The sequence below is a fragment of the Homo sapiens genome, chromosome 1 (genome assembly GCF_000001405.40).
Source record: "Homo sapiens chromosome 1, GRCh38.p14 Primary Assembly".
NCBI classification, from domain to species: Eukaryota; Metazoa; Chordata; class Mammalia; order Primates; family Hominidae; genus Homo; species Homo sapiens.
The window spans coordinates 235,360,109-235,377,106 of NC_000001.11; the positions used below are offsets into that span (position 1 = coordinate 235,360,109).

Consider the following 16,998-nt stretch of genomic DNA (forward strand, 5'->3'; position numbering starts at 1 on the left):
TTTTTTTTATACTTAGCATAATTATTTTGAGATTCATACATGTTGTTGCATAGATCCTCCATTCACTCCCTTTTATTGTGGAGGAGAATTCCATTTATGAATATATCACAATTTATTCATTCATCTTTTGATAGCCATTTGAATTGTTTCCTGTTTGGGGTTTATCAAAAGTAAAATTACTGGCCGGGTACGGTGGCTCATGCCTGTAATCCTAACACTTTGGGAGGCCGAAGCGGGAGGATCGCTTGAGCCCAGAAGTTCAAGACCAGCCTTGACCCCTCCTGGGGTCCCTCACCCTCACTCACAGCTCTACTCTGGTGAGGTGGCTGGTGGGGGAGTTGTATCTGGACCCCCAGTGGGTCCCAAGGGGTTAGGGGCTGCCTCATCCACTGGGGCCCCTGGTAGGAATAAGCAGCACCCCGCATGCACTACCCCCATTTCAGTATCAAGCTCGGGTTGGTGGTGCTCCCCCTACAAAGATGTCTAACACTCCAATGGGTGATGGGAACCTATCCTCTGCTTCACCACCAACCACCTTCCCCCATGTGGCACCAAACCTGCCTCCCCCATCTGCCCAAGCCCCCTCAACAATGCATCAGCAGCTGGGCATGGTGGCTCATGACTGTAGTCCCAGCAGTTTGGGAGGACAACACAGGAGGATCACTTGAGGTCAGCAGTTCGAGACCAGCCTGGCCAACATGGTGAAACCCCGTCTCTACTAAAAATATAAAAATAGTCGGGCGTGGTGGTGCGCATTCGTAGCCCCAGCTACTCGGGAGGCTGAGGCAGGAGAATCGCTTGAACTCAGGAGGCAGAGGCTGCAGTGAGCCAAGATAGTGCCACCGCACTCCAGCCTGAGATACAAATCTAGAATCTGTCTCACAGAAAGCAAAACAAACAAAAAACCCCAGCACATTAGCTTCTCCTCCAGGCCCGGGGCCCCTGCCCTGTGGCACAGGGAGAGAGCATCTGTCCTCTCCCTGTGCCACGGGGCAGGGAATGGGAGGGTTTCCTCCTGGCCCAGAGAACGACTTGACTCTAGCTCCCACAGCCCACCCTCTGCCCCGGCTCCCTGCTTCCTCTTCTTCCGCCCCACTGAGGTTTCTTTACTCATGCTCTAGTAGCAGCTCTGCGGCAGCCTCCTCTTCCAGTTCTTCCTCCTCCTCCTCTGCCTCCCAGTACCCTGCTTCCCAGGCATTGCCCAGGTATCCCCACTCCTTCCCTCTTGCAACAAGCCTCTCTGTCCCCAATCAGGCCCCCAAGTATACTCAATCTTCTCTTCCAGCCCAGGCTGTGTAGAGCCAGGGTCCCCCACAACCTCCTGTGGCGGCCTCTTAGGCTTCCTCCTTCTCCTGGAGGCCAATCCACTGCCCACATCACCCCCAACACATCACCATCACCACCAGCAGCAACACTGTGGAAGCTCCAGGCCCCCTCCACCTGGAGCATTTCCCCACCACCTGGAGAGCTGTAGCCACATAGCCCCATACCATGCACACTCTTTTTTTTTTTTTTTTTTTTGAGACGGAGTTTCACTTTTGTCACCCAGGTTGGAGTGCAGTAGTGGCACTATCTTGGCTCACTGCAACCTCTGCCTCCTAGGTTCAAGTGATTCTTCTGCCTCAGCCTCCCAAGTTCCTGGGATTACAGGCGCTCACCACCATAAGTGGCTAATTTTTGTATTTTTAGTAAAGACAGGGTTTCACCATGTTGGCCAGGCTGGTCATGAACTCCTGACCTCAGGTGATCCACCTGCCTCGGCCTACCAAAGTGCTGGGATTACAGGCGTGAGCCACAGCGCCCGGCCAATGCACACTCTTATGCCATGTGTTCCTCCCTGGGGTCTCTTTGGCTCTATCCATCAGGGCCAGCATACCTGGCCCCATCTCACAGCCAGATGTCCTACAGCCAAGCAGGCCCCAATTGCCCCCTACCTCCCACGGTCTCTTCTTCTCTTTTTTTCCTCCTCTCAAGGGTCCTACCCACTTTCACACACCTCCCAGGGCCCCTACCTCTTCCTGCTGGTGCCTACGGTCACCACCTCCTTGGCTGCCCTTTCCACTGCCATTGCTATTGTGGCTTCCTCACCAGCAGACTACAAAACAGCCTACTCGCCTGGGCCCACGCCATAGGGAGAGAAAGCTGCATCCCCAGGGACTAGAAGACAGGCCACACAGATACAAGCCAGGGTGCCTCTCTCCATCTGAAGGGGACCCCATCGGGTCAAACCAGTCTTGCCCACTGTGGGACCTGTCACTTGTGAGCCCTCAGGTGTCATCTCTGCCACCACCACCTGTGGCCCCTGCCTCAGGGTTACCCCTAAGCACCAGACAGATCAAACAGGAGCTTGCTGAGGAGTATGAGACCACTAAGAGTCCAGTGCCCCCAGCCTACAGCCTCCAACTCCTCCTAAGGTGGTGGTAGTCCTTTCCAGCCATGCCAGTCAGTCAGCCAGGTGAGTGGGTACGGGAGGGTGAGCCTGGAAGGGGGTTATGAAGGGGCGACAGAGAGTGGCACAAGAGGGGCTTTCTGTTTATGTGGTGGTTTTTGTTGTTGTTGTTGTTTTTTTGAGATGGTTTCGCTCTTGTTGCCCAGGCTGGAGTGCAATGGCGCGATCTTGGCCCACTGCAATCTCCGCCTCCTGGGTTCAAGCGATTCTGCTGCCTCAGCCTCCCAAGTAGCTAGGATTACAGGCATGTGCCACCACACCTGGCTAACTTTGTATTTTTAGTAGAGACAGGGTTTCTCCATGTTGATCAGGCTGGTCTTGAACTCCTGACCTCAGGTGATCCACCCACCTCAGCCTCCAAAGTGCTGGGATTACAGGCGTGAGCCACCATGCCCAGCCTATGTGGTGTTTTTTATCTTATTTTTTATTGAGACAAGGTCTTGCTCTGTCACCCAGGCTGGAAGGCTGGAGAGCAGTAGTGTGATCATGGCTCACTGCAACCGTGAACTCCTGGGCTCAAGCGATCCTCCCACCTCAGCCTACATGCCTGGAGCTGGGATGACAGGCACAGGTAGGAGCAACTGGCTAATTTTTTTATTTATATTTTTTGTATATTTTTTTTGTAGAGAATATATATATTTATATATATTTATATATATTTTTGTAGAGAATATATATAAATATATATTTTTATAATATAAAATATAAAAATATAAAAAATATATATTTTTTTTCTAGAGAAGGGGTCTCTATGTTGCCCAGGCTGGTCTCCAACTCCTGGGCTCAAGTGAACCTCCCGAAGTGTGGAGATTACAGGCATGAGCCACCGTGCCTGGCCTTTTGGTGAAATTTTGAGTCAAAAAAATTTTTTTTGAGACAAGGTCTGGCTCTGTTGCCCCAGCTGGATTGCAGTGGTGCGATCTCGGCTCACTGCAGCCTCTGCCTCCTGGGTTCAAGCAATCCTCCCACCTCAGCCTCCTGAGTAGCTGGGATTACAGGTCCATGCCACCACACCCAGCTAATTTTTGTATTTTTAGTAGAGATGGGTTTCACTACGTTGGCCAGGCTGGTCTCAACCTCCTGGCTCAAGTGATCCACCCGCCTTGGCCTCACAAAGTGCTGGGATTACATCATGAGCCACTATTCCTGGCCTTCACTCAAATCTTTTTGTCCATTTTTCTATTGGGGTTTTCTTTTTCTTATTGTTCAGTTTTGAGGGTTCTTAAATATATTCTGGATTGAATGGGCTCATGGATATTTATGAAATCATGCCCCCCAAGAGTTAAAGATACCAGTGACTGTTACCAAGCAAAAGGAGCTCACTGCCCGGTGGTACAGAAGTCAAATGCTATGGCACTAGGTTTTTGAGAAGAAAAAAAAAAAAGCTTTATTGTGAGTCAGCCAACAAAGAGACAGGAGGCCAGCTCAAATTGGCCTCCCTGTGCAATTCTTAAGTCAGTGCTTTTTAAACTTTTTATTGTATTTTATTTTTTAGAGACAGAGTCTTGCTTTTTTGCTCAGGCTGGAGTGCAGTGGCTTGATCTCAGCTCAGGTCACTGCAACACCTGCCTCCCAGGTTCAAGCAATTCTCCTGCCTCAGCCTCCCCAGTAGCTGGGACTAAATGTGCATGCCACGATGCCCGGCTCTTTTTTGTATTTTTTTTTAGTACAGATGGAGTTTCACCATGCTGGCCAGGCTGGTCTTGAACTCCTGACCTCAAGTGATCCACCCACCCCTGCCTCCCAAAGTGCTGGGAGTAAAGGCATGAGCCACAACGCATAGCCTGCAAATGGGTTTTGTTTTATTTATTTATTTATTTATTTATTTATTTATTTATTTATTTATGAGACGGAGTCTCGCTCTGTTGCCTAGGCTGCAGTGCAGTGGTGTAATCTCAGCTCACTGCAACCTCCGCCTCCCAGGTACCAGCAATTCTCCTGCCTCAGCCTCCCAAGTAGCTCGGATTACAAGGGCATGCCACCACACTCGGCTAAGTTTTGTATTTTTAGTAAAGACGGGATTTAACCATGTTGGTCAGGCTGGTCTCAAACTCCTGACCTCATGATCTGCCCACCTCGGCCTTCCAAAGTGCTGGGATTACAGGCGTGAGCCACTGTACCCAGCCTCTACAAGTGGGTTTTTAAAGGAAAAAAGAAGAGGTAGTTCCTAAGTTGTTTACCAATAATAATTTACATTAAAATAAAATAAGTTATTGATTGGCTACACATTGTTTTATTTTATTTTATTTTTTGAGATAGAGTCTCACTCTGTAGCCCAGGCTGGAGTGTAGTGGTGATATCTGGTCTCACTGCAACCTCCACCTCCTAGGTTCAAGCAATTCTCCCGGCTCACCCTCCCAAGTAGTTGGGACTACAGGCACGCACCACCATGCCTGGCTAATTTTTGTATTTTTAGTAGAGACGAGGTTTCACCATATTGGCCAAGCTGGTCTTGAACTCCTGACCTGGTGATCCGCCCGCCTCGGCCTCCCAAAGTGTTGGGATTACAGGCATCAGCCACCGCGCCTGGCCTATTTTTTCTTTTCTCACCAACTAATGGAAAAGTGAGGGCTTTATTTATGTATTCATTTTCAGATGGAGTCTTGCTCCGTCCCCCAGGCTGGAGTGAAGCAGCACGATCTCGGCTTACTGTAGCCTCTGCCTCCTAGGTTCAAGCAATTTCTGCCTTAGCCTCTTGAGTAGCTGGTTTTACAGGCATGTGCCACCACACCCCACCCAGCTAATTTTTTTTTTTTGAGACGTAGTCTAGTTGTGTCACCAGGCTGGAGTGCATGGCGCGATCTCGGCTCACTGCAACCTCCGCCTCCCAGGTTCAAATGATTCTCCTGCCTTAGCCTCCCAAGTAGCTGTGATTACAGGCACACAGCACCATGCCCAGCTAATTTTTGTATTTTTAGTAGAGACAGGGCTTCACCCTGTTGGCCAGGATGGTCTCAATTTCTTGACCTTGTGATCCACCCGCCTCAGCTTCCCAAAGTACTCGGATTACAGGCATGAGCCACCACGCCTGGCCTTTTTTTCTTTTTTGAAACAGGGTCTCACTCTATTGCCCAGGTTGGAGTGCAGTGTTGAGATCTCAGCTCACTGCAACCTCTGTCTCCCCTGCTCAAGAGATTCTCCCAACTCAACGTCCTGAGTAGCTGGGACTACAGGCACCTACCACCACGCCTGGCTAATTTTTGTGTTTTTTTAGAGACAGGGTTTCGCCACATTGCCCAGGCTAGTTTTGAACTCTTGAGCTCAAGTGATCTGCTTGCCTCGGCCTCCCAAAATGCTGGGATTATAGGTGTGAGCCACCGTGCCCTGCTGAGGAGAGTCTTAGTTTGGGATCCATGGATTCCTTTGAGGCCTATTCATGGGCTTCAAAGGATTAATCAGTCCTTGAAATCATACGCAAAATTTGTGTGTAGGTAGATAGCTTTTATCAGATTTCCAATGTGGTTTTTAATCCCCTCTTCCAAAGAAAAAACAATCACTGTAATATCTAGTTTCTAGTTTCAAGGAGTGAACTATCAAAGTATAAAACAGTAGAGACATCCAGCAGGATACTGACTGTTTGTGTCCATTTAATATGACAATTAGAAGGTCACTTCTTGGAAGAGTCATTTGGCTTTGCTCCCTCAATTTCCTTTCCACTTCACCTCACTTCAGTCTGGTTTTGGAATGCTAACACTCACTCTACCCAAACTGCTCTTGTTGTGGAGTCTGTGGTATCCACCAATGGGTTCTTTCTGCCTGCTGCACAAACAAAATTAATTGACAGAAACCATGGCATTGCAGTAAAGAAAGTTTAATTGACGCGAGGCTGGCCATGCCACGTGGGAGACAGAGTTGTTACTCAAATCCATCTCACCAAAGGCTCAGAGGTTAGGGGGTTTTTCAGATAGTTTGACAGGTACGGGGCCAGGGAATGGGGAGTGCTGACTGGTTGGGTCAGAGGTGAAATCATAAGAAGTAGAAGCTGTCCTCTTGCACTGAGTTGGTTCGTGGATCCCCAGGTTGATGAGTCAGGGTGGGGCCATCCACTTGTCAGAAATGCAAAAACCTGAAAAGACATCTCAAAAGGCCAATCTTAGGTTCTACAACAGTGATGTTATCTGCAGGAATGATTGGGGAAGATGCGAATTTGTGACCTGTGGAATAATGGGTGGTAATCATTTAACTACAATTACAACTTAGAAGAATTCAGGACCCTCTCATTCTCCTAACTTGGTGGCCTTTCATTTAGTTTTAAAAGGGCAGTTTTGGGGAAGGGTTATTATCATTTAAACTATAAACTAAATTTCTCCCAAAGTTAGTTTGTCCTGTGCCCAGGAATGAGCAAAGACAGCCAGTCTGTGAGGCTAGAATCAAGATAGGAGTAAACCATGTCAGATTTCTCTTACTGTCAAAATTTTGCAAAGGCGGTTTCAACAGAAATTAACATGTCTAGGATAGTTGCTTTTTCTATTATTTTTTCTATCACTGCATTTACTTTCATTCTGCCTTATGCTTTAACTAGGTAATTTTTTTTTTTTTTTTAGTTTTGGCGGTATCAACACTATATTCTTCTCTTTGACCACCGCATGCTGCCTACGTGGTAGACTCTCAATACGCATGGAACTGAACCTCTTACAGGATTTGTAACTCACTTCTGTGGTATCTAGTAAACTGGAACACGCGCTTTCCCTGGGCTGCTCTGTCATCCCAGGTTTCAGCACTCGGAAATCGCTTGGGCCCCCGCCCAGAGGCGGGGCTTGGGTGGGCTGACCACTCCTCTGGCCTCCAATACTGTCGCTGACATTCTCGTCTATGCTCCAGCAGCCGTACCTCACTCCGGTGGAGGCGGGACTTCCTACAGCACTTCCGGCCAGAGCCTCAAGCTTCGCTGCTGGGCAGTTGGCTGGAGGGGCTGCTGCTGGGAACACCTGGAGTCTCCGCGGGCAGGTGAGCTTCAGAGGTTCGGGGAGCTTTCGGAACGAGCATTCCTGGCCGGTGCGTCACCCTGCAGTGCTCTTGGCCTTTTCTTCCTTTCCTGGAATCTTCCCAGATTGCCAGAGCCGGGCGTTGCCTGCTCCGTGCGCTGGGAGGCGGTCCAGCCGGCTGGGTTGGGGCCACCCTGCGCCTCCTGGAAGGCCTTATTTAGGAGTAGCCGCACGTGATCTCTAGCATTTTAAGCTTCTCTCAGAGAATTGGCATGTCACTTTGGAAGAGGTGAAAATGGTACAGGCGACCAACGACTTTTACAAGGTGTCACCTTAGAGGAACAGCCTCGTCCTTCCGAATCAGTTAACATTGGTGATGACAGAGAAATAACGTTAAATAGGTGGAGAGCACTTAAAGTAACTGTTTGTTCTTTTGAGACAGTCTTGCTCTGTCGCCCAGGCTGGACTGCAGTGGCGCGGATCTCTGATCTCGGCTTACTGCAACCTCCGCCTCCTGGGTTCAAGCGATTCTGCTGCCTCAGCCTCCCGAGTAGCTGGGATTACAGGCGCGTGCCACCACGCTCGGCTAATTTTTGTATTTTTAGTAGAGACAGGGTTTCTCCATGTTGGCCAGGCTGCTCTCGAACTCCTGATCTCAGATGATCCACCCGCCTCGGCCTCCCAAACTGCTGGGATTACAGGCGTGAGCCACCGCGCCCGGCCTAAAGTAACTATTTTTACTTGGTGTTTACTACCAAATGGGGACTGTTCTAAGTTGTGGGTGGATCCAAATGATGGTGTGACAGCCTTATCCTCAGAGAAGCAGTCCTGGCAGGAAGACGGGGTTAACAAATTGCCAAACTGTTAGAGAAAGTTAGTGGAGGTAGAGATGAAGAGAGAAGACTTTTCTTTTCTCTGGCATTAATTTAGCCACGGCCGCTGTGTTTTGATACTTGCTTCAAACGTTTTTCATATTCTTAAGTTTTAACTTTTCTGTATGCTCATATTTTATATACTGTTGTAAACAGCATATCTCTGGGTTTTTTTTTTAATCTAAGTGGACAGCCTGCTTTTTTTTTTTTTTTTTTTTTTTGATATGGAGTCTTGCTCTGTCGCCCAAGGCTGGTGTGCAGTGGCCCAATCTCAGCTCACTGCAACCACGCCTCCCAGGTTCAAGCATATCTCCCACCTCAGCCTCCCGAGTAGTTGGGATGACAGGTGTGTGCCACCATGCCCAGCTAATTTTTTTTTTTTTGTATTTGTAGTAGAGATGGGGTTTCGCCATGTTGGCCAGACTGGTTTTGAAGGCCTGACTTCAGGTGATCCACCTGCTTCAGCCTCCCAAAGTGCTGGGGCTACAGGTGTGAGCCACCGTGCCCAGCCCAGTCTGCCTTTTGACTAGCAGGTTTATTGGATTTACATTCATTGTCACTACTGAAATATTTGTCTAGATGAAAATCTTTGGTATCATCCCTGATTAATCTCTTCCATATATATCAGCAAATCCTATGGACTCTCCACCTTTAAAATCTGTCCACACTCCCAGGCTCTTGTTATCACCTTCACTTGTTCAAGTTACGTTGTCTCGTACTTGAATTACTGCAGTAGTTTCTGCTCTTTCCTCTTTTAGTCTGTTTGCATCACAGTATCTCGGTTGATCCTTTAAAAAAAAATCAGATTTATGTCTTTCCTCTCAAAAATCCTCCAAGGACTACACATTTCACCTGGAGTGAAAGCCAAAGTCGGCCGGGCGTGGTGGCTCATGCCTGTAATCCCAGCACTTTGGGAGGCCGAGGTGGGTGGATCACGAGGTCAAGAGGTCGAGACCATCCTGGCCAACATGGTGAAACCCCGTCTCTACTAAAAATACAAAAATTAGCCGGGCGTGGTGGTGCGTGCCTGTAATCTCAGCTACTCAGGAGGCTGAGGCAGAAGAATCGCTTGAACCCGGGAGACAGAGGATGCAGTGAGCCGAGATCGTGCCACTGCACTCCAGCCTGGCGATAGAGCAAGACTCTGTCTCAAAAAAAACAACAAAAACAAAAAAAACAAAAACTGGCTGGGCGCAGTGGCTCAAGCCTGTAATCCTGGCACTTTGGGAGGCCAAGACTGGTGGATCACCTGAGGTCAAGTGTTCAAGACCAGCCTGGCCAAAGTGGCGAAACCCCGTCTCTACTAAAAAAAAACACAAAAAATTACCCAGGTGTGGTGGTGTGTGTCTGCAATCCCAGCTATTAGGGAGGCTGAGGCAGGAGAATTGCTTGAACCTGGGGGCAGGCGCGGAGGTTGCAGTGAGCCGAGATTGTGCCATTGCACTCCAGTCTGGGCAACAAGGGCAAAACTCTGTCTCAAAAAAAAAAAAAAAGCCGAAGTCTTCAGAGTGGATTATTCATCGAAGGTCCTATGTGACCTAGCCCTGCTTCACTGCTGATCTCATGTCGTTCTCATCTCCTGTTTGCTCTACTGTATGGTCTCCTCAAGCGCATCCTAGCCTCAGGATATTTGCACTTGCTATTCCTTTCCCTCATATGTCCACATGGCTCAGTTCTTTACCTCTCTCATATTTTGGGGACCTTTACCTTCTCAGTAAGGCCTTCTCTGACAAGCCACTGCCATCTTTAACATTTCCATTGCACTCGTTATCCTTGTGCTTATCATCATATGACATGCCATGTGATAGAGTCATTTATCTGGTTTATTATGTTTTCTCTCACTGGCATAGAAGGTTTATGAGGGCAGGTATTTTTCTGTTTTGTTTACTGCTGTATTCTTTTTTTTTTTTTTTTTCTGAGACGGATTCTTGCTCTGTTGCCCAGGCTGGAGTGCAGTGGTACGTTCTCGGCTCACTGCAACCTCTGCCTCCTGGGTTCAAGCAATTCTCTGCCTCAGCCTCCCAACTAGCTGTGATTACAGGCGCATGCCACCATGCCTGGCTAATTTTTGTATTTTTAGTAGAGATGGGGTTTCACCATCTTGGCCAGGTTGGTCTTGAACTGCTGACCTTGTGATTCACCCGCCTCAGCCTCCCAAAGTGCTGGGATTACAGGCGTGAGCCACTGCACCCGGCATTTTTTTTTTTTTTTTGGGAAGATCTCTTATTGTACTTCCCTGTAAAATCCATTACTGTTTTATTCCAATTGCCTAAAATAGTATCTGGCTTTTAGCAGACACTCCATAATATAATTGTTGATTGAATGAATTTGGGGTTTTTGCACCATCTTCTACACTTCATATTTTTATGCTTTTTTCCTCCTTGTCTTTTCTTTTTTTTTTTTTTGAGATGGAGTCTTGCTCTGTCGCTCAGGCTGGAGTGCAATTGTGTGATGTCGGCTCACTGCAACCTCCGCCTCCCGGGTTCAAGCGATTCTCCTGCCTCAGTCTCCTGAGTAGCTGGGATTACAGGCGCACGCCACCACGCCCAGCTCTTTTTTGTATTTTTAGTAGAAATGGGGTTTCACCATGTTGGTCAGGTTGGTCTTGAACTCCTGACCTCATGATCCGCCCGCCTCAGCTTCCCAAAGTGCTGGGATTACAGGTGTGAGCTATCACGCCTGGCTTTTTTTTTTTTTTTTTTTTTTTTTTTTTTTTTTGAGACAGAGTGGTTGCTCTTGCTGCCCAGGCTAGAGTGCAATTGCATGATCTTGGCTCACCGCAACCTCCGCCTCCTGGCTTCAAGCAATTCTGCCACCTCAGCCTCCTCAGTAGCTGGGATTACAGGCATGCGCCACCATACCTGACTAATTTTGTATTTTTAGTAGAGATGGGGTTTCTCCATGTTGGTCAGGCTGGTCTTGAACTTCTGACCTCAAATGATCCACCTGCCTCAGCCTCTCAAACTGCTGGGATTACAGGCGTGAGCCACCGCCCCCGGCCACTCTTGTCTTTTTTTTTTTCCCTTTTTTTTTTTTTTTGAGACAGGGTCTCCCTCTGTCACCCAGGCTGTAGTGCACTGACACGATCTTGGCTCACTGCAAGCTCTACCTCCCGGGTTCAAGTGATTCTCCCACCTCAGCCTCTGAGTAGCTGGGATTATACGCGTGTGCCACCATAGCCTGGCTAATTTTTGTATTTTTATTAGAGATGGGGTTTCATCATATTGGTTAGGCTTGTCTCAAACTCCCAACCTCAGTTGATCCACCCACCTCTGCCTCCCAAAGTGTTAGGATTACAGGCGTGAGCTACAGCACCCGGCCCCACCTTTTTTTCTGAGACAGAGTTTTGCTCTTGTCACCCAGGCTGGAGTGCAATGGCACGATCTCGGCTCACTACAACCTCCACTTCCCGGATTCAAGTGATTCTCCTGCCTCAGCCTCCCAAGTAGCTGGGATTACAGGGACCCGCCAGCATACCCAGCTAATTTTTGTTTTTTTAGTAGAGGTGGGGGTTTCACCATGTTGGCCGGGCTGGTCTCGAACTCCTGACCTCAGGTGATCTGCCTGCCTTGGCCTCCCGAAGTGCTGGGATTACAGGCATGAGCCACTGTGCCTGCCCTTTTTTTCATTTTTTCATTTTTTTGTACAATAGGGTCTCCCTCTGTTGCCCAGGCTGGAGTACAGTGGTGTGATCAGGGCTCACTGCAGCCTCGAACTCCTGGGCTCAGGTCATCCTCCAACCTAAGCCTCCCAAATACATTGGCCTATAGGCGTGCACCACCACACCCAGCTGATTTTTATATTTTAATTTTTAATTTTGCTGTGCATATTTAGCTGGGATTACAGACGCACTCCACCTCGCCAGGCTAATTTTTGTATTTTTAGTTGCAACGGGATTTCACCATAGTGGCAAGGCTGCTCTGGAACTCCTGACTTCAGATGATCCTCCTGCCTTGGCCTCCCAAAGTGTTGGGATTACAGGCGTGAGCCACCGCTCCTGGCTGGCTTTGTAGAACCTTAAACATATTTATCTATCTTAAGAATTTTTCCCAAGGAAATACTTCATAAGGTAATATTTTAAAAATCAAAGCTGTTTTTAGCTGTTTTCTTTGGAGTTGTAAATAAACAGCATTAGAGAAATGATTGGCTGGGTGCAGTGGTTCACACCTATAATCCTAGCACTTTGGAAGGCTGAGACGGGAGAATCTCTTGAGGCCAGCAGTTTGAGACCAACCTGGGCAGCATAGAGAGATCCCTTCTCTACCAATAGAAAAGAGAGAGAGAGAGAGGCTGGGCACGGTGGCTCACGTCTGTAATTCCAGCACTTTGGGAGGCCGAGGCGGGCGGATCTCGAGGTCAGGAGATCGAGACCATCCTGGCTAACATGGTGAAACCACGTCTCTACTAAAAATACAAAAAATTAGCCGGGCGTGGTGGTGGGTGCCTGTAGTCCCAGCTACTGGGGAGGCTGAGGCAGGAGAATGGCGTGAACCCGGGAGGCGGAGCTTGCAGTGAGCTGAGATTGCACCACTGCACTCCAGCCTGGGCGACAGAGTGAGACTCCGTCTAAAAAAAAAAAAAAAAAAAAAAAGAGAGAAATTATTAAGTAAATTGTGGTATCATACTTGGATATTGAGATGATTAATGTGTTGACTCTGTGGCTGTATAGAAAAATGTTTATGGACAAATGTTAATATGGCCAGTTGAGGTAGCTCAAACCTGTAATCCCAGCACTTTGGGAATCCTCAGGAGGATTGCTTGAGCCCAGGAGTTAAAGACCAGCCTGGATAACATAGTGAGGCCCTACTTTATTTTAAAGGAAGTTAATAAAAGAAGTAGAACAAATTATATGTCTCAGTGGTAGTAAAATTCTGCTTACATGTTAATGAAAATTTTGAAAGGGCACTTAAAACTAGTAAAAAACTCATTTTTAGGGTAATACAATTGTAGTAAAATTTAAACATTTAAATTTTATGATCGGAAGATGGTAGTAAATCAGAAATGGCTTTGGAATTTCTTTCATTGCAACCTTAATAGTAAGCAACAGTCTTTCCCATGAAAGGGACAGAAAAAAAAGAATGTAACGTCTACATTTTTTTTTTTCTTTGAGACGCAGTCTCACTCTGTGGCCCAGTCTGGAGTGCAATGGCACGATCTTGGCTCACTGCAACCTCCGCCTCCAGGGTTCAAGCAATTCTTGTGCCTCAGTCTCCCAAGTAGGTGGGATTACAGGCACTCACCACCATGCCCGGCTAATTTTTGTATTTTTATTTTTATTTATTTTTATTTTTATTTTATTTTATTTTATTTTTGAGACGGAGTCTCGCTCTGTCGCCCAGGCTGAAGTGCGGTGGCGCGATCTCGGCTCACTGCAAGCTCCGCCTCCCGGGTTCACGCCATTCTCCTGCCTCAGCCTCCCGAGTAGCTGGGACTACAAGCGCCCGCCACCACGCCTGGCTAATTTTTTTGTATTTTTAGTAGAGACGGTGTTTCACCGTGTTAGCCAGGATGGTCTCGATCTCCTGACCTCGTGATCCTCCCGCCTCGGCCTCCCAAAGTGCTGGGATTACAGACGTGAGCCACCGCACCCAGACTTGTATTTTTATTTTTTAAATTTTAAAATTTTATTTATTTTTTTGAGACTGAGTCTTTCTTTGTTGCCCAGGCTGGAATGCAATGGCATACCTTGGCTGACTGCAGCCTCCGCCTCTTGGGTTCAAGCCTCCAGAGTAGCTGGGATTACGGGTGCTTGCCACCATGCCTGGCTAATTTTTGTATTTTTAGTAGAGACAGGTTTCACCATGTTGGCCAGGCTGGCCTCGAACTCCTGACCTCAGATAATCCACCCTCCTCGGCCTCCCAAAGTACTGGGATTACAGGCGTGAGCCACTTTGCCTAGCCTACACTGTTAAATGAATGCTTTTCAGACCATTGTACCCCACGTGCAGGTCAGGCCACATCTGGAATGTGGCGTTCAGTTCTAGATATCGCAATTTAAGCATGGAATCAGTAAATCAGTTACAGAGGAAAACTGGAATGCTATAAGGAGGGTTTAAGGAGCTGGAAATGTTTACCCTGGTAGAGAGGTTTGGGAGATGAAGACAGGAAGCAGGGAAAGCAGAAATGGTAACAAATGGCCTTCCATATTTATTTATTTATTTTTTGAGACTGAATCTCCCTCTGTCGCCCAGGCTGAAGTGCAGTGGTGCAATCTGGGCTCACTGCAACCTCCGCCTCCTGGATTCAAGTGATTCTCCTGCCTCAGCCTCCCTAGGAGCTGGGATTACAGGTATCCGCCACCACACCTGGCTAATTTTTGTATTTTTAGTAGAGACGGGGTTTCACCATGTTGGCCAGGCTGGTCTCGAACTCCTGACCTCAGGTGAGTCACCCACCTTGTCCTCCCGAAGTGCTGGGATTACAGGTGTGAGCTACTGTGCCCAGCTGGCCTTCCACATTTAAATGTTGTCTGGGAAAGGGAATATATTGATTCTCTGTAGCTACATAGGGCAGTAGTAGAAAATTACTAGGTGAAAATGATAGAGATGTAGATTTCTTTTTTTTTCTTTTTTTTTTTTTTTTTTGAGATGGAGTCTCACTCTGTTGCCCAGGCTGGAGTGCAGTGGTGCGATCTCGGCTCACTGCAAGCTCCGCCTCCTGGGTTCACACCATTCTCCTGCCTCAGCCTCCCGAGTAGCTGGGACTACAGGCGCCCACCACCACGCCCGGCTAATTTTTTGTATTTTTAGTAGAGATGGGGTTTTGCTGTGTTAGCCAGGATGGTCTCAATCTCCTGACCTCATGATCCGCCTGCCTTGTCCTCCCAAAGTGCTGGGATTACAGGCATGAGCCACTGTGCCTGGCCTAGAGATGTAGATTTCATCTTTTTAAAGAAGAATAACAAGAGTCACTCCAACATTTAAGTGGGCTATCTTCATTAGTTAGCAAGTGTGTGTATTTTAAAAAGTCATTCCATCTGAACCAAGCCTTAGTCAGCACCCAGATAGACCTAACTAAGAGCAACATGCCACTCACATTCAGGTGATTAGGAGAGGGCCCAGTGCAGGCCATTACAGAGAACTTAACTAGGCAGCAGCTGACTGCAGGTCATTTTGACTGGATACTAAAATGGGGCTGGGGGTGGGGGAGTGATCAAAGTGGTTGTCCTAGCAACAGGCAATAAGGGTGCAGAGTGGGCCAGTAACAGCATCAAGTAGGTCTAACATCAGGAAACAGGGACCCACTGGTTACTAGCTAGAAGAAGAGGGTAAAGGCTTTGGAACTAAGGCATAGGTCACCAAGACATGGATCCAGTTTCTAGGTCTTCACGGAAGATCATGGTATCAAGAAAGACATTATTAGAAACGTTCAGAGACTAGACAGGATCATCAAAAATACTGACTTGAGGCTGGGCGCAGAGGTTCACACCTGTAATCCCAGCACTTTGGGAGGCCGAGATGGGTGAATCACCTGAGGTCAGGAGTTCGAGACCAGCCTGACCAATAAGGTGAAACCCCATCTCTATTGAAAAAAAAAATACAAAATTAGCCGGGCTTGGTGGCACATGCCTATAATCCCAGCTACTCTGGAGGCTGAGGCAGGAGAATCGCTTGAACCCGGGCGGTGGAGGTTGCAGAGCTGAGATCACGCCATTGCACTCCAACCTGGGTAACAGAGCGAGACTCTTCTCAAAACAAACAAACAAAAACACCTGACTTGACACAGAGACTGTTAATTACTGACCTTAGACCTTATACCTAATGATCTCATTGGTCATGTCTGTGGGCACAGCATACAGGTAGGAATGGAAAAAAAAAATTGTTACTGGAGATTAAGTAGGATCAAGCATGTGAAGGAATTCATGAGTTACCTACAGATGTTAGATTAATAATGAGAATGGCTTCCTAGTGTCTTCAATCCTCATTCCTGCTATTACACTCTCTGGTTTTACTTCCCATTGATGGCTGCCCCCTTCTTCTCACCAAGCCATTCTCACTGTTAGCCTGATCTGCAGGGTGATGTAGTAGTACCCTTAAGCTGAGCCCCAGCTGGAAAGAGCCTCAGACTGATTATGGGGCCTTGTGAGTTTCTGGATTTAGATAATCCCTATACAGTCTAGTTCATGGAGCCAAGATTTGGCCTAGTACTTTAATTTCTTGTAGGAGTGGAGTTCTGCAGTCATTTTATTCGTCCCTCTTCTTAGGGACTAGAGCTCTGAATCTGAGCACAGGTTTTTGGGTAGTGCTGTGTCTCTGGCCAGACCTCTTAGCTTACTAAAACATAAATTCCCCATGCCTGGTCTGACCCGTATGTTGATCCTGCCATCACATCATCTAAACTGGCCGGCACAGTGGCTCACACCTGTAATCCCAGCACTTGGAGGCCGAGGTGGGAAGATCACTTGAGGTCAGGAGTTTGAGACCAGCCTGGCCCACATGGTGAAATCCCGTCTCTACTAAAAATACAAAAATTAGCTGGGCCTGGTGGCGGCCGCCTGTAATCCCAGTTACTCAGGAGGGTGAGGCGGAAGAATCGCTTGAACCCGGGAGATGGAGGTTGCAGTGAGCTGAGATTGCACCAGCCTGAGCGACAGAGTGAGACTCCGTCTCAATTAAAAAAAAAAAATCATCTAAACTGCTTTGACTTTTCTCACCAACTTTGGGCTCGGAGATTATTTCTCTTTTGCTTTTCAACACTACTGGGCATGTTTAGATCTGGATCCTGGCCCCCTTCCCAATGGCCCTGTCCTCCT

General features: G+C 47.8%; 1 protein-coding gene, 1 long non-coding RNA gene and 1 pseudogene across 6 annotated transcripts in view, besides 2 other annotated features; 2 read left to right on the forward strand and 1 right to left on the reverse strand.

Annotated features, from left to right (window-relative positions):
* Positions 257 to 2,456, forward strand: LOC100418822 (atrophin 1 pseudogene; annotated as a pseudogene).
* Positions 6,245 to 7,312, reverse strand: LOC124904559 (uncharacterized). Of its 2 annotated transcripts, none has more exons than XR_007066957.1 (2): positions 7,102 to 7,312; positions 6,245 to 6,515 (listed from the first exon to the last, which is right to left on the reverse strand). It is a non-coding gene; the product is annotated as an uncharacterized LOC124904559 (long non-coding RNA). The 2 variants fall into 2 exon arrangements; XR_007066956.1 differs by having other exon boundaries at positions 6,245 to 6,603; positions 7,102 to 7,180.
* Positions 7,026 to 7,739: an enhancer, noted in NCBI's record as "NANOG-H3K27ac-H3K4me1 hESC enhancer chr1:235530449-235531162 (GRCh37/hg19 assembly coordinates)". NCBI's record gives its function as "activates a minimal SCP1, AML or CMV promoter by ChIP-STARR-seq in naive H9 embryonic stem cells {active_cell/tissue: H9 hESC(naive)}" and the evidence as "EXISTENCE:reporter gene assay evidence [ECO:0000049][PMID:30033119]".
* Positions 7,279 to 7,618: an enhancer, noted in NCBI's record as "active region_2801". NCBI's record gives its function as "activates an Ori minimal core promoter by ATAC-STARR-seq in GM12878 lymphoblastoid cells {active_cell/tissue: GM12878}" and the evidence as "EXISTENCE:reporter gene assay evidence [ECO:0000049][PMID:35858748]".
* TBCE (tubulin folding cofactor E) overlaps positions 7,319 to 16,998 on the forward strand; it is an 85,017-nt gene continuing 75,337 nt past the window's right edge. For 3 of the 4 annotated variants that reach the window (NM_001287801.2, NM_003193.5, NM_001287802.2), the window contains exon 1: positions 7,319 to 7,396. The gene's annotated coding sequence lies outside the window, so the exon portion shown is untranslated. Of the gene's footprint in view, positions 7,445 to 16,998 lie in introns of all 4 variants that reach the window. The other variant, NM_001079515.3, reaches the window with a different exon arrangement.